We start from the raw sequence: 24707 nt of genomic DNA on the forward strand, positions 1-24707 counted from the left end.
CGCAGCGTGGTTGGGGTGTCCCTGCCATTCATGGCAGGTGTGCTGTGGAAAGGTTGACATCCTGACTGTTGTCAACAGACCCTCAGAGTGATCATTTCCAACGTCATGATCTGCCCTTTCAGACATTACTACCTGTGTAGTAAATTTTGTACTGAAATTGTTCCCTTAATTTTTAGGGTTCGTTTGGTAGAACGGGGTTCTCCGCACAGCCTGCCATTGATGGAGTCTGGAAAGGTAGTGGAAACCAAGACGCGTGCATTCTGAGTCGCGTCTGAGACCTTTGTCTGAAGCATCACCCCGTGGAGGGTGCTGGGGGCTGCGGCTCTGATGAACACAGGTCGACTTCTGGTTGGGGTGGGCTCGGCTGCTGCAGAAGTCTCCTTCCCTCCTTTGTGGCTGGTATATAGAATTACTTAGTTATGTTTTTAAACACACATCTGAGCTCAAAGCCAAGAAAGGGAGAAGTTCAGGTGCAGGAATAAAGAACTCCCGCTGGGTGGGTGGCAGGCCTCAGGCCTCTGGGGCCAGGGCCATGGAGGGGGGTTCCGGCCCACCCACACATTTAGAGTTAAATGGAGTGGCCCTGGCCCTAAGTTGGAGATGGCAAAATCTCATGCCCTAGTTTAGGGTGTCAGCAGGGAAGAGGCCCCCAGACCCTGTCGGGGATCTGGGGGATCCTGAGATGGCCCGAGGACTCCCAGGAAAAAACTGAGATGCTGCAAGAGGTCAGCAGACATAGGCACAGAACAGCATCCTCTGAACCAGGAAGGGTTCAAAGGAAGGAGGAAAAGCCACACAGCCCAGGAAGGCAGCATGAAGAGTAAGCCAGGCTTGATATGAGTCGGGGACCCTGGTGCCTTCACAACCGCAGAGGCAAGGGAAGGAGCTTGGCCACCCTGACTCCGTTCACTGCCATGGCCACAGCCACCTGTGGGGAGTCAGAGAGGGGTCCAGAGAGGGACCCAGCCAAGCCATGTGATGTCCAGGATACAGACTCCTGCAGGGCAGCAGGGGTGAGACTGCGGACAGAAGGCACAGCTGCTGTGAGGGTCTCGAGGTGGGAGCTACAGGGAGGCCAGTGGGACTGGGCTGAGTGTGGGGAGCAGAAGGAGTGCGTGAGTGAGTGAACTCACATGCAGGTGCAGGGGCTTGAAAAGCTCCCTTCCCGTGTCCCCTGTTACAGTCACTTCAGGCGGTAGACCAGCCGAGAGTGGAGTCGGGTGAGCTTAGTGGACAGCACATCTGTGGGAGCCGTGGGCTGCTGCACGTCCTCCCTTCTCTGAGCACAGGGACATGTGAGCCGCCATCGCACACAGCTCTGCATCATCCTTGGTGTAAACTCAGCGGGTTTCCCTGGGTCATGGGGCCTCCACGTCGCTCTTTTCCCTGCCCTGCCATGTACAGCCGCACTGTAATTGTTTAGCTCACCCCCTTTTATTGGACGTTCTTTCCTATTTTGCTGTTACAATCACTTGGGCCTGATAGGTTTGTGTCCTGGAAAGAGCTCTGGTTTTGGGGCTCAGCTGGGACATGCAGGGAGAAGATGGAGGCTCCAACAGCATCTGGGGAAACAGAACAGTCCCACTCCGCCGGGGAGGGTCTGGCGGTAACCGTAGCTCACACCTCCCTGTGGCCCGTCGTCCCCTCCTCTTGCCTGCCCTGAGCCTGCAGTGTCATTGCCCCCATTTCATACGTGAGGAAACTGAGGACACAGAACAAGCATCCAGGCCTTGTGCAGTCAGGTGGTCTGACCTGAGCCCAGTGAGGGAACACTGGGACCGGGCCTGGGAGGCCAGGTAAGAGATGGTGGCCTCTTGCCGTCCTGAATTGGCACAGAGCCAGTGCTCAGTGGTTGGACTGACTCGGAGTCACGGGCAGGAAGAACTTCCTCATGGTCAGGTTCCTGGCCAAGAACTAGGACAGACATGTGCCTCCTGCAGGGCTGGGCACAGCAGGGTCACTGCACCCCTGGATGGATGCCCATCAGGTGCGCTGGCATCACCTGGCTGATTGTCTTTGTAGGCTTAGTGACCCTCTGCCCCTCCTGACACCCAGAGACGGGATCCCTTCTCAGGAACTGGAGTCATTTTGCTTATTTCTATTAACATCTCTTATTTCTTTCAAAATTCAAAGTCAAATTTGGAGCGGCCTCTAAACTTCCTGACCTGACATGAGCACATCAGTCCTGCAGGCCAGCTTCTGAGGGACGTTATTTTAATGTCACTGAATCAAGAGAGTCTCGTGTCATGTTTTCTTTAACAAGGGACATAGCTCTCCTCCTTCCAGATCCTCCCCGGCGTGAAGGTCATCATCGCACACACCGAGACCAAAGGACCCTTGGGAGACTCACACCTGGGAGAGGTGAGCAGGGGCCCATGGGAGGGGCTTGAGCTCTCCAGCCTCACCAGCTTCACCTTCCTTCCCTTTTTGCTTCAGATTTTGGAATTCTAAACTTGCCTTTGGGAATCTACCAGAAACCATTTGGCCCTTGCCCCGTGTACCTCCCAGACCCAGTTCCTATGTAGGATTTTGGGGTACTGTGGGACAAACTGCCTCATCCCTAGGTTGACCTAACCAAGAGAGGGGAACCCCTAGGTTTGAGGGCACTGACAGGTGAGAGGAGCTGCACAGGAACCAGTGGCAGTGTGGAAAACAGCTACCTTGTGCAGGACCCAGCAGCTGCTACGTAAACGTGGTCCCTGGCACCCAGGCAGGAGCACAGACACGGGGAACTGGCAATAGGGAACTCTGCACCAGAAGAGTTCAGGGCCTCCACCTGCAGCTGGGAGGTTTGGGGAGCTCAGAGCCCTTGTCCTGAGGACACAGTGGAGGGTGCGGGTCTCCCTGAGAACACAGAGGCTATACAGGAATCCGTTGGGTTGAAATGTCTACATGTATTGCACGTACATCTTGCTGTAATTTGGGACAGGCATGACTCATTATTTACAGGCAGTGGTGGCAGCTTGACGTGCAGTCCCGAATGTGCAGATTGATCTGTTGTCATGGGAGCATAAGGACTCACGTTCCTAGTCCTATCCTCTTGGGGAATGTGCTGTCAAATTGATGTCTTCAAACCAGGCGGGCACAGGCATCATTTGTGAGCTCTGCTGTGAAGCCAGACTGGGGGCTTCCAGCAAGCCGTGCCCAGAGGGAAATCACTCAGCCTCAGCTGGCTTCTCCTGACTGGGACAAGGGTGTGAGCGTGCGGGCCCTCAGGTGGTCTTACCGTGTCCTGATGGGAAGGTGTCCTGGGTCCCAACCCTGAGTGTGGCTGGTGTGAGGGACCCTCCCCTCAACCGTCCCACTTCCTGCACAGCCAAACCCAGGTCTGTAAGTCAAGGGTGTACCCCCAAGAAATGGAGAGTCTGAGCCAGGCATGGTGACCCACCCTTGTGGCAGATGCTCAAGGGAAACGCCCCTATTGGCCACCCCGTTCTCCTCTTTCAGACGCTGCCATGCAGGGGCGTCTTAGAGCCAGTCGAACTGACCGTGGGTTCTGGACGGACTCTCTCTAGAAGGGCCCCATGACACTTGGTCCTGCAGGCACAGGCCTCTGGTCCCTTGGTCTCTGCATGGATGCACAAAATGCTTACGTGTGTAGATATGAGGGTGCACACAAACACGTGGACAGGTGGATACACACACGTGAACACGGATAGCGGACGCACACACACGCGCGTGGGGCTGACGTTAACCCTGGGATGTGCCGTCTGTTTTCAGGGCCTCTGTCTTACTGTGAGTCTGAGCAGCTGCACGCTCTCCACTCTGTAAGAACCCTCATTCCTTCAGCCTGTCCCTGTTGTGGAATGTGGGTTGCTCCCGGCCCTCTCTTATTACCAACAATAGTTGGATGTGAGGAAGGTGGAATTGCCCCTCTCGACTTACCCACGTAGGATAGAGTCCTACAGATGACATTCTTGGGTCAAAGGAAGAAACACAGTATTTAAGGAGAGAAAAGTTCTGTTTGCTTTCTGTGCCTGTAATTTAACTTAGTTCATAAAATAAGAGACAATGAATATTATCCGCCCCGACTTCGTTCAGTGTTTTCTGGAGCATTATTCTTGGCCAGTGGATGTCTCGTGACAGAATCTGAACTCGGTGGTTGGTAACACATCACATTCTTGTCCTCTGGGCCCACCAGATCTGGGTAAGCAGCCCCCACAATGCCACCGGGTACTACACCGTTTACGGGGAGGAGGCGCTTCATGCCGACCACTTCAGTGCCCGGCTGAGTTTTGGAGACACACAGACCATCTGGGCAAGGACCGGCTACCTTGGCTTCCTTCGGCGAACAGAGCTCACTGATGCCAGTGGAGGTGAGGGGTTGTGGTGAAGCCCTGCGTGAGTGCTGTGCGGGGAGGACCTGGGCTCCCCAAGAGCTTAGTCACCTGCTAGCACACCTCACTCCTTGCTGTGGTCTGGTATTGCTCCTTGTGGGGGGAAGATGTTCTGACAGCAGTTTTCTCTGAAAATACTGTTTTCCCTCCATGACTGCCCCTCACTGTCCTTGGGCCCTTGGCCTCTGCTGAGGGCGTGGGGGACGGTGTTGGTGATAAGGCTACCAGGCTTCTCCCCGAGGCCAGACCGGTCTCTCTGCCGCTGTGTCTTTACCAGTGGCTTCCCCATGCACAACCCATTTAAGGTTGTGGTCAATGTCCAGAGGACTCTGTGCAGCCACCACAAGCTGGCCAGATAAGGCAGAACTTTTGGTAGCTCCTATAGATGGTGTCCCGTTCACAGAGATAAGTTATTTTTAATAATACGCTCACACTTGCTGTAACTTTCCTGAGGTGGTTCCGTGCTGCAGAGATAACAGCCTGCTCTGCCAGGACCTCCATCACCCTTTCTGCACGTGGTGTGCGACCTCATGATGTTTCAGTTGAGACCTCCCTGTGCCTGAGAGCCCCTGGTTGGGCTCAGAGGATACGAATGTCCAGACTCTGCATGCCTTGGCTTTCTGGGCACGTGTAAACACACACTGTTCACAGGGCGGCACGATGCACTGTATGTGGTTGGGTCTCTGGATGAAACTCTGGAGCTCAGAGGCATGCGGTACCACCCCATCGACATTGAGACCTCTGTCATCCGAGCACACAGGAGCATCGCTGAGTGGTAAGAGCCCAGGTGGAGGGCGGCTTCACGTGGTCCCTCCAGCCCTTCCTCTGGGCATGAGTGCTGTGCATCGGTTGGAGCAGAGCAAGGACTGCTGGGCCCTGGGCACAGGCCTCCTGCATTGTCACCCTGGTCTGCAGTGGAGCTGGGTGCCATGTAGATGAGCCCTATCTACCTTGGGCATTGCCAGAGAGGGCTGAGGACTTCTTGTGGGTTCTCCCTCTGGATGTACTCTGCAAAACATGGTGCCAGAGCACACCTCACTGCCTGTGTTTGGGTTTGGCTTGTTTTTTTATCTGTTTCCTTATCAGTGGTAAGCTAAGAGATTGTCCCCAAATGCACAGGCAAAATGTAGATTTCCACAGGTCTCATCCTGAAGTGTTTCTACTTTTAATATGAGTTTCTCACATGGTTGTGACTCCTGATTCCTTCACCTGTAGGGAACTTGTGTTGGGACAGGTACAGCTTTCAGCATCAGATAATGCTCTGATTCTCAGTAAAAGCTTTAGTTGGAATAGACATCCTGTAAAATGGATCTGGCCTGATCTTTAGATTGTAAATGGCCTTAAATAGCTGTGTGACATTGGTGGGCTTCACTCTTCTTTGTGCCACCCTTTCCCAAGCATTCATTGGCCCCTGTGACCTGTGCCTGTATCCATGTGACCCAGTCTGTCTTCTCTCTGCAGTGCCGTATTCACCTGGACCAACCTGCTGGTGGTGGTGGTGGAGCTGGATGGGCTAGAGCAGGATGCCCTGGACCTGGTGGCCCTGGTGACCAACGTGGTGCTGGAGGAGCACTACCTGGTCGTGGGAGTGGTGGTCATCGTGGACCCAGGGGTGATCCCTATCAACTCTCGGGGTGAGAAGCAGCGCATGCACCTGCGGGACGGCTTCCTGGCTGACCAGCTGGACCCCATCTATGTCGCCTACAACATGTGAGCGCAGCACACCGGCCCAGGTGCCGGAGATGAATGAGCCCCAGCAGTCCAAGGTGTGATGTGGGAAGACACCGCAGAGCTCACTCACCGGGACTCGCCCTTCCTGTGCTCTTACAGATCCCTCTCAACAATCCCCGCATCTCCTTTTAGAAAGCACTTCCTGAATTATTTAAAGAAATATTTTGAATCTGCCAAGTACATTTACAAAAACACGGATGCTGGTATTTTAACAGATGGAGAGACAAGGAAAGGAAAGGAAAGGCCTGGCATGGGCATTGTGAGGAATCACAGGCACCGAGGTTGTTCTCTGCTGTACTGCAAGTTTGCACTTTCTTTAGGCTAAAAATATAGTTCCTGATTTTTAAAATTCAGTTATTTATTCCCACTTCAAATGACAAGTTCATATATAGAATTTACGGGAGAAACTTGAGACCATTTACGGGGAGAAACTTGATTCTGGGAAGATAGCAGAGTACAAACCAGCTGCCTCACTTCTGTTTCACAGGGAGGCTGATGGAAAAAGGAAGCAAGCTGGACCCATCCTCCCTGCTCACAGAGGGCACTGTGGTCACACACAGTGCCTCCTCTGCCAGTTCCTTTATTGAAAGAGGTGTGCTGGCTGGCCACGGTGGCTTACACCTGTAATCCCAGCACTTTGGGAGGCCGAGGCGAGCAGATCACGAGGTCAGGAGACCGAGACCATCCTGGCTAACATGGTGAAACCCTGTCTCTACTAAAAATACAAAAAATTAGCCGGGTGTGGTGGTGGGCGCCTGTAGTCCCAGCTACTTGGGAGGCTGAGGCAGGAGAATGGTATGAACCAGGGAGGCGGAGCTTGCAGTGAGCCGAGATCACGCTACTGCACTCCAGCCTGGGTGACAGCACGAGATGCCGTCTTAAAAAAACAAAAAAGAGGTGTGCTGCTTGTCAGCATGTATTGTCACGGACACTCAATAAGTGCCATTTTGGACTGTCAAATTTAGATGCTTTGTTTCAGAAAGATAAGCCAGCATTTAGTTTTAAATCACTTTCCTGGTTTGTAACTTGATGCTGTTTAGTTAAATTGCTAGTTTTCCTAACACTACAATATTAATTCTTCTCGTGGAAGTGTACTGATTTATTATTTTTATTCCAAGTCAGCAGATTTGGAAGCATTGTGGTAAAGTCTAAGGTTTTCATATCCATAGTGCTGTTTGGTGAGTACCGGCAGTACAGTTGAGGGGAGCAGGGAACAGCATTGCCCCGTATTGAAGGTGGAGATGGTTACATTCTTCACTGCTTTTTGCATTTTGAGTTGTGTGCCTATAAAATTTGGCCAAACCATTTTATTATTTTGTTCAAACTTGACTAAGCTGAGTGATCTAAAATTATACAGAACCTAAATCAAAGAAGAGAATGTAAAGTCCTTTAGTTACTTCTAAGAATTTGAAGTCAAGCACGAATCTAAGACATAGATTATTTTTATATAGCTAATGAAGAGTATGTTACGAAATTGTTGGGTTTTTGGGGTATTGAGGGTGGCAAATTTTGTGAATCATGCATGCTTCACAGAAACAACCAGGTTTTTCCAGAATTAGTCTGGATCAGTGCCTAACAAAGCTGTTATTAATTCTCCACACATGAGTCTGGCTAACTGGGCCAGCTCTCATGTTTTACTCCTGTCTGGCTACAAATAGCACTGTGCATAGTAGCCCTGTTTCCCCATGGTGTTGGACTGTGGTAAAGTATGTTGTGACATACTGGAATTCTAATAATCCTGTTGTAAGTATGTACAGAATCTATGTAACTTATTGTTGACATACAGAGGTTTGGGAAGTAGTCTAATGGACATTCCTTACAATAGAATGGCTGGGAAGGGAAAGAAAAAAAAAAAAAAACTACCTAACTCCAATCTTAATGTTGTAGTTTTATAGCAAACAAAAATTGTCAGCTTTTTGTATTGAAAGGTCAGTGGTGGTAAGACAAGGTGTCTTGTAAATTAAGATTTTAAGAAGTGCATTAAAATGTTTTAGAATTACTCTGGGAATTCTGTATATCACACTAAAATTTTTATATCATTATGTTAATAAAAGTTATTGACTTTGTAATTCTGCATTTTGAAATGTGTGAAAAGGGTCTTTAAATTACCCCGAATAGGTTGTATCTTATTTTGCTTTTTTTCTGACTATAAAAGCAGTTATGCTTATAGCATAAAATCTAGAAAGCACATTAAAGTATAAAGAAAATTAAAATTTCTTATAATTCTACCTCTGAGTAAACAGCAGCATTCGTATGTAACATAAACCCTCTCAGGGATTTATTTTTTCTTTTTAAAAATTTTTTACAAAATTAGGATCAAGTGCTTTTTTAAATAATTTGCTTTTGTACTTAATAAATTATAGACTTTAAAATCTATTACATATATTCTTCTACATGTTTCAGTGGCTGTATTTTACAAGTGTGCCATGAGTAAATGTAGTATTTGCTGTATTGCCGTACATCAGCGTTGTTTCAACAGGACTGCAGTGAGCCCAGATGCACGTTTACACTGCCATGATTACAATTACTGCCTTGGGCTCAGTTCTTATAGGTAGAGTGAGTGGGTCAGAGTTCATGCCAGGTGTGAAGCTTTGGGTACCTGCTGCCCTCCAGAAGGGCAGGATGACAGCATGGAAAAGGCCTCTTTGCAGATGCCAAGTAATGTTGGCAATGGACATGTGCTCAAGATTAAAATAACTCTTTAACAATTTGATAGGCAAATAAGTGTTGTGTCTGGTCATGTTGAATATGTCCTCGTGTTCATGGCCATTTTTAGTTCTTATCTGATGTATTTTGTTCAGATTTGGCAGTCCTTATGGTCAAGTTTTTTCTTACTGACATGTAGGAGTCTCTTTCTATTAAGAATTATAACCTCCATATACTTCTTACTTTTTCTTGTGGGTTATTTGTATTTTGGTTCTATCTGTTTTGGTGCAGATGGTTTTTTAGATGTTATATTTATGCAAACTGGTTATTGTGTTTGATTTCAGATTATGAATATAGCTGATTTATTTCAAAGTGGTTCTACTGGAATGATCAGCATAAACCAATGGGGAGTACATGGCAGAGAAATAACTAACCTCCAGTATTTGCCTGGTTCCTGCCACAGTGCTGGCCTTCATGTTGGCAGTTCCAGAAGTGGGGTTGAGGGAGAGAGAGAATACTTGAAGAAATAATGGCTGAAGACTTCCTAAATTTGATGAAAGACCTGAATATAAGCATCCAAGTAGCTCAACAAATTCCAAGTAAGATGAACTCAAAGAGACCACACAGATACCAACATTTCAGAAGCCAAAGCCAGAGAATTTTGAAAGCAACAAGGGAGAAGCAACTTGCTACATACAAAGGATCCTCAGTAACAGGTCCCCAAGCCCTGGGCCACAGACTGTTAACAGTCTGTTAGGTACCAGACCACACAGCAAGAGGTGAGTGGTGGGTGAGTGAGCATTACCACCTGAGCTCTGCCTCCTGTCAGATCAGTGGTGACATTAGATTTTCATAGGCATGCAAGCCTTCTTATGAACTAACTGCACGTGCCAGGGATCGAGGTTGCACACTCCTTATAAGAATCTAATGCCTGATGATCTGAGGTGGGACAGTTCCATTCCAAAACCATCGTCCTGTGCCCCCTGGTCTGTGGAATAATTGTCTTCCACAAAACCAGTCGCTGGTGCCAAAAAGGTTGGGGACTGCTGCTCAATAAGATTATCAGCAGATTGCTCATCAGAAACTAGAGGCCAGAAGGTAGTGGGCCAATATATTGAAATTTAAAGTAGTTTTTTCTAATTCTGTGAAGAAAGTCAATGGTAGCTTGATGGGGATAGCATTGAATTTATAAATTATTTTGGGCAGTATGGCCATTTTCACGATATTGGTTCTTCCTATCCATGAACATGGGATGTTTTTCCATTTGTTTGCATCCTCTCCTATTCCCTTGTGCAGTGGTTTGTAGTTCTCCTTGAAGAGGTCCTTCACATCCCTTGTAAGTTGTATTCCTAGGTATTTCATTATCTTAGTAGCAATTGTGAATGGGAGTTCACTCATCATTTGGCTCTCTGTTTGTCTGTTATTGGTGTATAAGAATGCTTGTGATTTTTGCACATTGATTTTGTATCCTGAAACTTTGCCGAAGTTGCTTATCAGAGTAAGGAGATTTTGGGCTGAGATGATGGGGTTTTCTAAATATACAATCATGTCATCTGCAAACAGAGACAATTTGACTTCCTCTTTTCCTATTTGAATATGCTTTCTTTCTTTCTCTTGCCTGTTTGCCCTGACCAGAACTTCCAATACTATGTTGAGTAGGAGTGGTGAGAAAGAGCATCCTTGTCTTGTGCCGGTTTTCAAAGGGAATCCTTCCTAGTTTTTGCCCATTCAGTATGATACTGGCTGTGGGTTTGTCATAAATAGCTCTTATTATTTTGAGATATGGTCCACCAATACCTAGTTTATTGACAGGTTTTAGCTTTTAATAATAAAGTTTATAATGTAAAAAATAAAAAATTTTTAGAGAAAAAAGTTTATAAAGATGTCTAAAAATGTTTTGCACAGTTGTACAATGTGTTTTAAGCTAAATGTTTTTACAAAATAGCCAAAAACTTAAAAACATTTGAAAGTTTATAAAGTTACAGTAAGCTAAGGTTAATTTATTATTGAAGAAAAATTATGTTTAGTGTAGTCTAAGTGTACAATGTTTATAAAGTCTATAGTAGTGTACAGTAATGTCCTAGGCCTTCACATTCATTCACCACTTACACCCAAAATAACTTTGAGTTCTACCAGCTCCATTAATGGTAAGTACTTACTATGATTTGAGTGACCCCCAATGTGGCAGTATTAAGAGGTGGGGCCCTTAAGAGGTGATTGGATTAATCTATTCAAGGATTGATAGATTAATGGATTATCATGGGAATGGGGCTGATGGCTTTGTAAGAAGATGAAGACCTGAGCTAGCATGCTCAGCGCCCCCACCATATGATGCCCTGCACTACCTTGGGAGTCTGCAGAGAGTCCCTACCAGCAAGAAGACCCTGACCTGATGTGGCCCTCAACCTTGGACTTCTCAGCTGCTATAATTCTAAGAAATAAATTCATGTTTTTCTTATAATGTAGCCAATTTCAGGTGTTCTGTTATAAGCAACATACAATGGACTGAGTGCCCTGTACAAGTGTACTGATTTTAATCCTTTATACTGTATTTTTACTACCTTTTCTAAATTTGGACATGTGTTTAGATATACAAATACCAGTGCATTACAATTGCCTACAGTATTTTGTACAGTTACATGGTGGACAGGTTTGTAACCCAGGAGCAATAGGCTATATCATATAGCCTAGGTGTGTTGTAGGCTAGGTTTGTGTAGATACATATACACTGTATGTTGTTCCCCCAATGATGAAATCACCTAAAAACACATTTCTCAGAACATATTTCTGTTGTTAAGTAATGCATGGCTGTATGCACAAAAGGAAGTGAGAAAGGGATTTAAATGTTTCATTAAAAAAAAACACAGAAGGGCGCAATACAAGAAATGAAAGAGATATAAGGCATATAGAATATGAAGTGACAGAAGTAAGTCTCTCCTTATTGATAATTACTTTATCTGTAAATAGATTAAATGGACAGAGATTGGCAGAATGGGGAAAAAACAGGATCTAACTGTATGCTGTCTACAAGAGACTCACATCCAAAGACACAGTATTAATATATTGAGAGTGACAGGATGGAAAAATATATTCACTGGGCACAGTGGCTCATGTCTGTAATCCCAGCGCTTTGGGAGGCTGAGGCAGGTGGTTTTCTTGAGCCCAGGAATTTGAGACCAGCCTAGGCAACATGAAGAGACCACATCTCTACCAAAAAAATACAAAAATTAGCTGGGCATTGTGGCTTTCTCAGGAGGCTGAGGTGGGAATATTCCTTGAGCCTGATGGGTGGAGATTGCAGTGCACCAAGATCACAACACTGTACTCCAGCCTGGGAGACAGAGTAAGACCCTCTCTCACAAAAAAAAAAAAAAAAAAAAAAAAAAAAAAAAAAAAAAGATATTCCATGCAAATAGTAATCAACAGGGAGCAGAGGTAGCTATAATAATATAGTTTAAATAAAAAATGATTACAAGAAATGATGGACATTAATAAAAGATTCAATTCAGCAAGATGTAACAATTGTAAACATTTACACATACAATGACAGATCATCAAAATATATGAAATGAAAACTGACAATAGAAGGGAGAAAGGAGAAATAGACAGTTCTATAATAATAGTTGGAAATGTCAGTGCCCTGCTTTGAATAATGGATGGAACAATAAGACATAAGTAAGGAAATGGAGGCTTTAAACAGCACAACAAACTAACTAGATCTAACAGACATATGCAGAACATTCTACCCAACAATAAAAATAGAATACACATTCTTCTCAAGTTCACATGGAACATTTTCCAGGATAGACAACATGTTAGGCCACAAATTAAGTCTCAATAGATTTAAAAATATACAAAGTCTCTCCTTAAACCAAACTGGGATAAAGTTAAAAATCTATAGCAGAAGGAAAACTGAGAAAATACAGAAATTAGTGAAAATTAACACACTTTCAAACAACCAATGGATCAAAGAAGAAATAACAAGAAAAATTAGAAAATACTTGGAAATAAAAACAATGTACCAAAACTTATGGGACCCAGCAAAAGCAGTGCTAAAGAAGCAATTTATAGCTATAAATGCTTACATTAAAAACCAAGAAGGACCTCAAATTAACAAACTAACATTACAACTTAAGAAACTAAAAAAGAAGAACAAACTAAACCCAAAGTTAGCAGAAGTAAGGATTAGTGCAGAAATAGATGAGAGACAATAGAAAAACAGAGAAAATCAAGAAAGCCAAAAATGGTTTCTTTGAAAAGATCAACAAAATTGACATTTTAGCTAGATGGACCAAGAAAAAAAGAAGACAGATTACTAAAATCAGAAATAAAATTGGAAACGTTACCAATTCTACAGTAATAAAAAGCATTAAAAAATACTATGCACAATTGTATGCCAACAAATGGAAAAACCTAGAATAGACAAGTTCCTAAAAACACAAAACATATCAAGACTAATCATGAAGAAATAGAAAATCTGAGTAGACTTATAACTAGTAAGGAGATTGATTTAAGTAATAAAAGATCTATTGACAAAAACCTGATGGCTTCATTGGTGAATTCTACCAAACATTTAAATAACTAACACTAATCCTTTTTAAACTTTTTCAGAAAGTTGAGGGAAAACTTTCAAACTTACTCTATGAGGCAAGCATTATCCTGATACTGGAACCAGTCAGACACTACAAAAACAGAAAACTACAGACCATGATTCCTTCTGAACATTGATGTAAAAATCCTCAATAAAATACTAGCAAACTGACTTCAGCAGCATATTAAAAACACTATATAGCATTACAAAGTGGGGTTTACTCCTGGAATGTAAGGATGATTCAATATATAAAACAATCAATGTAATAAACCATATTAATGGAATGAAGGGGAAAAACCACATGTGATCGTCTCGATTGATGCAGCAAAGGCATTTGGCAAAATTCAGTACCCTATAATGATTAAAGAAAAAAACAACTAGGAATAAAAGGAAACTACTTCAACATAATGAAGTCCATATATGAAAATCCACAACAAACATCATACTCAGTAGTGAAAATCTGCAGAAGCTTTTTCTGATAAGATCAGAAACACAGCAAGGATGACTGCGTTTGTCACTTCCACTCAACACAGAACTGGAAGCTCTTAGAGCAATTAGGCAAGAAAAAAAGGATTCTAAATTGGAAAGAAACAATTCAAATTATCTCTGCCAATGATATAATCTCATATGTAGAAAGGCCTAAAGATTCCACAAAAAAAAGTAGCACTAATAAATTTAGCAACATAGCAGGATACAAGGTCAACACACAAAAATAGTTGCATTTTCATACACTCACAATGAACAATTCGAAAAGGAAATCAGGAAAACAATTCCATTGACAATAGCATCAAAAAATATTTAGGAATTAACCAAGGAGATGAAAGACTTATAAAATGAAAAGTACAAAACATTGAATGGAAAACATCGAACAATACAAAGAAATAAGTGGAAAGACATCTTATGTTCATGGATTGGAAGTCTTAATATTGTTAAGATGTCAGTACTACTCAAAGCCATCTACAGATTCAAGGCAGTCCCTATCCAAATTCTAATTATGGTTTTTGCAGAAAGACTAACTCATTCTAAAATTGATATAGAATCTAAAGACACTCTGAATAAACAAAGCAATTTTGAAAAAGAAAAAGCTGTAAGACAGTTCTCCAAATAAGATATACAAAAGGTATACACCTTTGAAAAATGAAAGCAAAATAAGGACATTCTTAGATAAGCAAATTTTGTTGTTGGCTGACATCACCATAAATACTAAAGAAAGTCCATCAGACTGAAAGCAAGTGACCCCCGATGGCAATTTTTAAAAATTTTTAAGTTCTAGGGTACATGTGCAGGATGTGCAGATTTGTTTCATAGGCAAACATGTGCCATGGTGATTTGCTGCACCTATCAACCAATCACCTAAGTCCAGCATGCATTAGCTATTTTTCCTGATGCTCTCCCTCCCCCAGTGTCCCCCCAACAGGCCCCAGTGTGTGTTGTTCCCCTCTGTGTGTCTATGTGTTCATAATGTTCAGCTCCCACTTATAAGTGAGAACATGTGGTGTTTGGTTTTCTGTTCCTGCGTTAGTTTGCTGGGGATAATGGCTTCCAGCTCCATCCATCTCCCTGCAGAGAACACAATCTAATTCCTTTTTATGATTGAATAGTATTCCATGGTGTAAATGTACCACATTTTCTTTATCTAGCCTACCATTGACAGCCATTTGGGTTGATTCCATGCCTTTGCTATTGTGAATAGTGCTGCAATGAACATACATGTGCATATATTTTTGTAATAGAATAATTTATATTCCGCTGGGTATATACCCAGTAACGGGATTGCTGGGTCAAATGGTATTTCTGGGTCTAGGTCTTTGAGAAATTGCCACACTGTCTTCCACAATGATTGGACTAATTTGCATTCCCATCAACACTGTAAATGCATTCCTATTTCTTTGCAGCCTCACCAGCATCTGTTGTTTTTTGACGTTTTAATAGTTGCCATTCTGACTGGTGTGAGACAGTAGTATCTCATTTGTGGTTTTGACTTGCATTTCTCTAATGATCAGCGATATTGAGCTTTTTTTCATATATTTGTTGGCCGCATGAATGTCTTCTTTTGACAGGTGTCTGTTCATGTCCTTTGCCCACTTTTTAATGAGGTTGGTTTTTTCTTGTATATTTGTTTTAAGTTCCTTGTAGATTCTAGATATTGGGCCTTTGTCAGATGAATAGATTGCAAAAATTTTCTCCCATTCTGTAGGTGGTCTGTTTGCTCTGATGATAGTTTCTTTTGCTGTGCAGAGGCTCTTCAGTTTAATTAGATCCTATTTGTCAATTTCCTTTTGCTTTTGTTGCAATTGCTTTTGATGTTTTCATCATGAAATCTCTGTCCGTGCCTATGTCCTGAATGGTATTGCCTAGATTTTCTTCTAGGGTTTTTATAGTTTGGGGTTCTACATTTAAGTCTTTAATCCATCTTGAGTTAATTTTTGTATAAGGTGTAAGGAAGGGGTCCAGTTTTAATTTTCTGCATATGGATAGCCAGTTCTCCCAGCACCATTTATTAAATAGGGAATCCTTTCCCCATTGCTTGTTTTTGTCATGTTTGTCAAAGATCAGATGGTTGTAGATGGGCAGTCTTACTTCTGGGTTCCCTATCCTGTTCCACCGGTCTATGTGTCTGTTTTTGTACCAGTACCATGCTGTTTTAGTTACTGTAGCCTTGCTGTATAGCTTGAAGTCCAATAGCATGATGCCTCCAACTTCGTTCTTTTTGCTTAGGATTGTCTTGGCTATATGGGCTTTTTTTTGGTATCATATCAATTTTAAAATAGCTTTTTTTCTAATTATGTGAAGAATGTCAATGGTAGTCTAATGGTAATAGCATTGAATCTATACATTACTTTGGGGAGTATGGCCATTTTCACGATATTGATTCTTCCTATCCATGAGCATGGAATGTTTTTCCATTTGTTTGTGTCTTCTCTGATTTCCTTGAGCAGTGGTTTGTAGTTCTCCTCGAAGAGGTCCTTCACTTCCCTTGTTAACTGTATTCCTAGGTATTTTATTCTCTTTGTAGCAATTGTAAATGGAAGTTCACTTAAGATTTGGCACTCTGCCTTGTCTGTTGGTGTATAGAAATGCTTGTCACTTTTGCACATTGATTTTGTATCCTGAGACTTTGCTGAAGTTGCTTATCAGTTTAAGAAGCTTTTGGAGGCTGGGCGTGGTGGCTCACACCTGTAATCCCAGCACTTTAGGAGGCCGAGGTGGGTGGATCACGAGGTCAAGAGATCAAGACCATCCTGGCCAACATGGTGAAATCCTGTCTCTAGTAAAAATACAAAAATTAGCCAGGCGTGGTGGTGTGTGCCTGTAGTCCCAGCTACTCAGGAGGCTGAGGCAGGAGAATTGCTTGAACCTGGGAGGCGGTGGTTGCAGTGAGCCAAGATTGTGCCACTGCACTCCAGCCTGGCAACAGAGCAAGACTCCGTCTCAAAAAACAAACAAACAAAAACAACGACAACAAAAAAAACCTTTTGGGCTGAGACAATGGGGTTTTCTGGATATAGGATCATGTCATCTGTGAACAGAGGCAGTTTGACTTCCTCTCTTCCTATTTGAATATCCATTATTTCTTTCTCTTGCCTGATTCCCTTGCTAGAACTTCCAATGTTATGTTGAATAGGAGTGGTGAGAGGGGGCATCCTTGTCTTGTGCCAGTTTTCAAGGGGAATGCTTCCAGCTTTTGCTCATTCGGTATGAAATTGGCTGTGGATCTGTCATAAGTGGCTGTTATTATTTTGAGGCATATTCCTTCAATATCCAGTTTATTGAAAGTATTAATGTGAAGGGATGTTGAATTTTATTGAAGGCCTTTTCTGTGTCTATTGATATAATCATGTGGTTTTCATCTTTTGTTCCATTTATGTGATGAATTATGTTTATTGATTTGCATATGTTGAACCAGCCTTGCATCCCAGGGATGAGGCCACCTTGATCATGGTAGGATAAGCTTTTTGATGTGCTGCTGGATTTGGTTTGCCAGTATTTTATTGAGAATTTTTGCATGAATGTTCATCAGTCATATTGGTCTGAAGTTTTGTTTTTTTGTTTTATCTCTGCCAGGTTTTGGTATCGGGATGATGCTCGTCTCATAAAATGAGTTAGGGAGGATTCCCTCCTTTTCTATTGTTTGGAATAGTTTCAGAAGAAATGGAACCAGCTCCTCTTTGTACCTCTGGTAGAATTCAGCTGTAAATCCTTCTGGTCCTGGGTTTTTTTTGGTTGGTAGGCTATTTCTTACTGCCTCAATTTCAGGACTTATTATTGGTTTATTCAGAGATTCAACTTCTTTGTGGTTCAGTCTTAGGAGGGTCTTTGTATTCAGGAATTTATCAGTTTCTTCTACATTTTCTAGTTCATGTGCATAGAGATGTTTATAGTATTCTCTGATGGTTGTTTGTATTTCCGTAGGGTCAGTGGTGATATTCTCTTTATCATTTTCATTGTGTCCATTTGATTCTTTTCACTTTTCTTTGTCTAGCTAGCAGTCTATCTATTTTATTAATTTTTTTCAAAAAGCCAGCTCCTGGATTCGTTGATTTTTTTTGAAGGGTTTTTCACGTCTCTGTTTCCTTCAGTTCTGCTCTGATCTTGGTTATTTCTTGTCTTCTGCTAGCTTTGGGGTTTGTTTGCTCTTGGTTCTCTAGTTCTTTTAGTTGTGATGTTAGGATGTCAATTGGAGATCCTCCTAGCTTTTTGAAGTGGGCATTTAGTGCTATAAATTTTCCTCTTAATGCTGCTTTAGCTGCATCCCAGAGATTCTGGTATATTGTCTCTTTGTTCTCATTAGTTTCAAATAAGTTCTTGATTTGTGCCTTAATTTTATTGTTTACCCAGGAGTCATTCAGGAGGAGGTTGTTCAGTTTCCATGTAGTTGTGTGGTTTTGAGTGAGCTTCTTAATCTTGAGTTCCATTTTGATTCTGCTGTGGTCTGAAAGACTGTTATAATTTCAGTTCTTTTGAATTTGCTGAGGAGGGTTTTACTTCCAATTATGTGATCAGTTTTAGAGTAAGTGCCATGTGGTGCCAAGAAGAATGTATATTCTGTTGCTTTTGAGTGGAAAGTTCTGTAGATATCTATCAGGTCTACTTAATCCAGAGCTGAGTTCAAGTTCTGAATATCTTTGTTAATTTTCTCTCTTGATGATCTAACTAATATTGACAGTGGGGTGTTAAAGTCTCCCGCTATTATTGTGTGAGAGTCTAAGTCTCTTTGTAGGTCTCTAAAAACTTGTTTTATAAATCTGGGTGCTCCTGTATTGGCTGCGTATATATTTAGGACAGTTAGCTCTTCTTGTTGAATTGAACCTTTTACCATTGTGTAATGCCCTTCTTTTTTTTAATCTTTGTTGGTTGAAGATTTGTTTTGTCAGAAACTAGTATTGCAACCCTTGTTTTTTTCTGTTTTCCATTTGCTTGGTAAATTTTCCTCCACTTCTTTATTTTGAGCCTCATGTGTCTTTGCATGTGAGAGGGGTTTCTTGAATACAGCACACTGATGGGTCTTAACTGTTTATCCAGCTTGCCATTCTGTGTCTTTTAATTGGGACATTTAGTTCATTTACATTTAAAGTTAGTATGGTTATGTGTGAATTTGATCCTGTCATCATAATGCTAGCTGGTTATTTTGCAGACTTATTAATGTAGTTGCTTCACAGTGTCACTGGTCTGTGTACTTCAGTGTCTTTTTGTACAGGCTGGTAATAGTTTTTCCTTTCCATATTTCATGCTATCTTCAGGAGCTCCTGCAAGGCAGGCCTGGTAGTGATGAATTCCTCAGCATTTGCTTGTCTGAAAAGGATTTTATTTCTCCTTCATTTATGAATCTTAATTTGACCATATATAAAATTCTGGGTTGGAAATTCTTTTCTTTAAGAATGTTGAATATGGCCTCCAATCTCTTCTGGTTTGTAGGGTTTCCACTGAGAATTCTGTTGTTAGTCTGATGGACTTCCCTTTGTAGGTGTCCTGGCCTTTCTCTCTGGCTGCCCTTAACATTTTTTCCTTCATTTTGACCTTGAGGAATCTGATGATTATGTGTCTTGGGGCTGATCTTCTCATGGAGTATTTTACTGGGGTTCTCTGGATTTCCTGAATTTGAATGTTGGCCTGTCTTGCTGGTTTGGGTAAGTTCTCCTGGATGATATCCTGAAGTATGCTTTCCAACTTGGTGCCATTCTCCCCATCTCTTCCAGGTACCCCAATCAGTTGTAGGTTCAGTCTTTTTACATAATCTCATAGATCTCAGAAGTTTTGTTCATTCCTTTTCATTCTTTTTTCTTTAATCTTGTCTGCCTGTCTTATTTAAGCAAGATAGTCTTCAAGCTCTGAGATTCTTTGTTCCACTTGGTCTATTTGGCTATTGATATTTGTGGTTGCATTGTGAAGTTCTCAAGTTGTGTTTTTCAGCTCCATCAGATCATTTATGTTCCTCTGTAAACTGGTTATTCTGGTTAACAGCTCTTGTAATGTTTTATCATGGTTCTTAGCTCCTTTGCACTGGGTTAGAACATAACTCCTTTAGCTCAATGGAGTTCGTTATTACCCACATTCTGAAGCCTACTTCTGTCAGTTCATCCATCTCAGCCTCTGTCCAGTTCTGTGCCCTTGCTGGAGAGGTGTTTCAGTCATTCGAAGGAGAAGAGGCACTCTGGCTTTTTGAGTTTTCAGCGTTTTTGCATTGATTTTTTTCTCATCTTTGTGAGCTTGTCTACCTTTGATCTTTGAGGCTGCTGACCTTTGGATGGGGTTTTGTGGGGTCTTTTTTTGTTGATGTTGTTGTTGCTTTCTTTCTTTTAACAGCTAGGCCCCTCTTCTGTAGGGTTGCTGCAGTTTGCTGGGGGTCTACTCCAGACCCTATTCACCTGGATCCCTCCTGCACCTGGAAGTGTCACCAGTGGAGGCTGTAGAACACCAAAGATGGCTGCCTGATCCTTCCTCTGGGAGCTCAATCTCAGAGGGACACCAACCTGATGCTGGTGGGAACGCTCCCGTATAAGATTCCTGACAACCCATGTTGGGGGATCTCACCCAGTCAGGAGGCTTGGGATCCGAGGCCTGCTTAAAGAAGCAGTCTGGCTGCCCCTTGGTGGAGTGGGTGCACTGCACTGGAGGGACTCCTCTTTGTCCAAACTGCCCAGCCTCTTCAGAACCAGCAGGCAGGAAAGATTATGTCTACTGAGTTGTGGAGATCACAGCTGCCCATCCCCCTAAGGACTCCATTCCAGGGAGATCAGAGTTCTGTTTGTAAACCTCTGGCTGGAGTTGCTGAAATTCCCACAGGGAGGCCCTGCCCATTGACGGGGAATGGATCTGGGTCCCACCTAAAGCAGCAGTCTAGCCATGATCTGCCACAGCCACTGTGCTGTGCTGTGGGAAATTCCTCCTGGTTCAAACTACCCAGTCTTCCCCGCACCAGCAGAGGAAAACGGCAGACTGGAGCTGCAGTGATGGTGGCCGCCCCTCCCCCTAGGTACTCAGTTGTCTTAGGCAGTCTCTAGCCAGCTGCCACTAGCTGCAACCTGAGCATCTGGACAGCTCTGTACTTGGGACCCAAGGCTCTGGTGGTTTGGGCTCATGAGGGGATTTCCTGATCTGTGAGTTGCACAGATCTGTGGAAAAAACATGGTTTTCCAGGCAGGTAGCACAATCAGTCACTGCCTCCCTTGGCTGGGGATGGGAGCTCCTCTTGCCCCATGGTGCTCCTGAGTGGTCCATCGCTCCACCCTGCTTTTCCCGACTCTCCATGGGTTGTGCCAACCACCTAGTCAGTCTCAATGAGAGAACCTGGGTACCTCAGCTGAAGGTGCAGGATTCACTCACCATTTTCATTCTTCTCAGTGGGAGCCACCAATGGCAGCTGCTTCTAGTAGGCCATCTTTCCACTTTGCTGGTAATTTTTTTAACAACCAAGTGAATATGCCAAATGGTAACTTGGATCCACAGAAAAAGCAAAGAGAACCAGTAAAGGTAAAGATAATTATATAATGGTAAGACTATAAATGCATTTTTCCTTAACATGAATGAATTAAACAGTTTATTAAAAAGGCAGAGATTGTCAGAAAACCTGTGTAAAAACAAGCAAACAAACAAAAACAAAAAATAAGACCCAACTATATGCTGTCCACAGGAGATACACCTTTTATTCAAAGATACAAATAGACTGACAGTAAAAGGATGAGAAAAGGTACATCATTCAAACAGCAGCCACAAGAAAGCTGGAGTGGCTATACTAATCTCATACAAAATAGACATAACAAAAAATTCCTAGAGACATTTTATAACTATAGAAGGGTCAATCTATCAGGAAAAGCTAACAATTACAAATATGTATGCACCCAACAACAAAACACTACAATACACAAAGCACACAACTGACAGAAATAAGAGTTGGAGACTTCAATGTCTCACTTTCTATAATGAATAACCAAGCAGAAAATCAACTAGGAAATAAAAGATATAACATTATAAACAACTAGACCTAACAAACATCTATAAAACACTCCACACAACAAGAAAGTATACATTCTTCTCAACTGCACATAGAACATTCTCTAGAACACACCACCATATGCTAGGCTATAAAGCAAACCTCTCTAAATTTAAAAGGATATAATACATAAATTATGTTCTCCTACACAATAGAATGAAATTAGGAATTGATATAGTTTGAATTTTTGTTCACTCCAAAACTCATACTAAAAGTTAATTCCCATTTTGAAGGTGTCGGGAGGTGGGAACTTTAAGAGGTGTTTGGGTCATGAGGGTTATGTGCTCATTAATGGGTTAATGCCATTATCACAGAAATGTGTTCATTATCACAGGAGGAGTACTGTTATAAAAGGGCAGGTCTGGCCTCCCCTTGCTCTCTCTTGCCTTTCCACCTCCCACCATGGGATGATGCAGCACAAGGGTCCTGCCAGATGCTGCCCCCTCATTCTTCGATTTCCCAGCCTCCAGAGCTGTGCTAAATAAATTTCTGTTCATTATTAAATACCCAGTCTTAAGTATTTTGTTATAGCAGGACAAATTGGAATAAGACAGAAATCAACAGGAAAAAATTTGGAAAACTCCCAAGCATATGGAAATTGAGCAGCACTCTACTAAATAACCAATGGATCAGAGGAAAACAAAAGGGAAATAAAAAAATACCCTGACATAAATGAAAATGAAGACACAACATATCAAAATTTATGGAATGAAGCTGAAGCAGTGTTAAATGTCTAGCTGCACATGCGTATAATAAGAAAGAAGAAAAATTTCAAATCATTAACCTAGTTTTATCCTGGAAAAAGAAGAGTAAACTAAACCTAAAGAAAGCAGAAGAAAGAAAAGATAAATATTAGAATGGAAATTAATGAAACAGATATTGAAAAGCACAAGAGAAAAACAATAAAACCAAAAACTGAAAAGATTTTTAAAAATTAACAAAACTGTAGCTAGGCTAAGAAAAAAGAGAAGACTCAAATTACTAGAATCAGAAATAAAAAAGGGCATTACTACAGATCTTACAGAAATAACAAAGGATGATAAAGAAGTAGTATGAACAATCGCATGCCAATACATTAGGTAACTTAGATGAAATGGATACATTCCTAGAAAGACACAAACTACCAAACCCCACTTAAGATCAGGCAATCTGAACAGACTTATAACAAGCAAAAATACTGAATAAGCAGTAAAACACCATACCCACCCAGACGGCTTCACCACTAAATTTTACTAAATATTTGAAAAATATTTGAAGAAAAATTAATATCAAATCTTCACTATATATATATATATATATATATATATATATATATATATATTTTTTTTTTTTTTTCTTTTCTTTTCTTGAGATGGAGTCTCGCTCTGTCACCCAGGATGGAGTGCAGTGGCACAATCTTGGCTCACTGCAAGCTCCACCTCCCGGGTTCACACCATTCTCCTGCCTCAGCCTCCTAACAGGGACTACAGGCATGCACCACCACGCCCAGCTAATTTTTTGTATTTTTAGTAGAGATGGGGTTTCACTGTGTTAGCCAGGATGGTCTCGATCTCCTGACCTCATGATCCACCCGCCTCGGCCTCCCAAAGTGCTGGGATTACAGGCATGAGCCACTGCGCCCAGCCTCACAAAATATTCTTAAAAATTGAAGAGGGAACACTCAGTTTATGAAGCCAGTATTATCTGATACCAAAACCAAACATCACAAGAAAACTACAGACCAGTATCTCTTATGAATATGAACAGACAAATCCAACAAAATACTAAAATGAAATCCAGCAACATATAAAAAGAATTGGACACTAAGACCAAGTGGAATTTATTCCAGGAATCCAAGATTGGTTTAATATTTGAAAATTAATATATGCCATATCAATAGAATAAAAAAGCCCACATGATTATCTTTATAGCAGCAGGAGGCAGGTAGAGGCAGGTCCCTGGTGTAACGCGACCTTCAAATCAAAGACAGGTTAAAGCCTGAATGTTGGATTGAGAGGGATCATGGCGGATGGGAGGTAGGACTAGATTGCAGCTCTGACTCAGAGCAGCATGTGGAGACTTGCATCATGAATTTTTCCTCCAGAACAACTGCAAGAACAAATCAAGAAACCTGAGAGGACCCACAGACCCCTTGAAGGAAGCGATTGCTCCTGCAGGACCCAGGAGAGAACCTAAATACTCAGCCACAGCAAGACCCGCCCGAGGAGAGCTTGAGCTCAGATATGCCTAGCCCTGCCCCCACCCAATAGTCCTTCCCTACCCACCCTGGTAACTGAAGACAAAGGGCATATACTCTTGGGAGTTCTAGGGCCCCACCCACTGCCTGTTCCTCCCCATACTACCACAGCTGATGCTGTCTGGAAAGTGCCACCTCTTGGCAGGAGGCCAACCAGCACAAAATAGTGCATTAAACCGCCAAAGCTAAGAGCCCTCACAGAGTCCATTTCACCCCCCTGCCACCTCCACTGGAACAGATTCTGATATACATGGCTGAGAGACCCACAGACAGTTAACATCACAGGACTCTGTGCAGACAACCCCCAGTATCAGCCTGGAGCCTGGTTGACTTGCTGGGTGGCTAGATCCAGAAAACAGATAACAATCACTATAGCTTGGTTCTCAGGAAACCACATCATTAGGAAAAGGGGGAGAGTACTACATCAAGGGAATATCCCATGGGACAAAAGAATCTGAACAACAGCCTTCAGCTCTAGACCTTCCCTCTGAGAGAGGCTACCCAAGTGAGAAGGAACCAGAAAACCAACTCCGGTAATATGACAAAACAAGGTTCTTTAACACCCCCCAGAATCACACTAGCTCACCAGCAATGGGCCCAAACGAAGAAGAAATCCCTGATTTACCCAAAAAAGAATTCAGGAGGTTTGTTATAAAGCTAATCAGTGAGGTACCA

General features: G+C 42.7%; 1 protein-coding gene across 19 annotated transcripts in view; it reads left to right on the forward strand.

Annotated features, from left to right (window-relative positions):
- DIP2A (disco interacting protein 2 homolog A) overlaps positions 1-22300 on the forward strand; it is a 124981-nt gene extending 102681 nt beyond the window's left edge. For 9 of the 19 annotated variants that reach the window (XM_047440707.1, XM_017028293.2, XM_047440710.1 and 6 more), the window contains 5 exons: positions 177-234; positions 2287-2361; positions 4142-4316; positions 4989-5112; positions 5799-6766. In XM_047440707.1, the coding sequence (XP_047296663.1) occupies positions 177-234; positions 2287-2361; positions 4142-4316; positions 4989-5112; positions 5799-6051 (685 nt within the window). In that variant the 3' untranslated portion in view covers positions 6052-6766. Of the gene's footprint in view, positions 1-176; positions 235-1183; positions 2362-4141; positions 4317-4988; positions 5113-5798; positions 8445-9058; positions 11180-20109 lie in introns of those variants that run through there. The other 10 variants (NM_001353942.2, NM_001410751.1, NM_015151.4 and 7 more) reach the window with 7 other exon arrangements.

This window comes from Homo sapiens, chromosome 21 (assembly GCF_000001405.40).
Source record: "Homo sapiens chromosome 21, GRCh38.p14 Primary Assembly".
In the NCBI taxonomy this organism is placed as follows: Eukaryota; Metazoa; Chordata; class Mammalia; order Primates; family Hominidae; genus Homo; species Homo sapiens.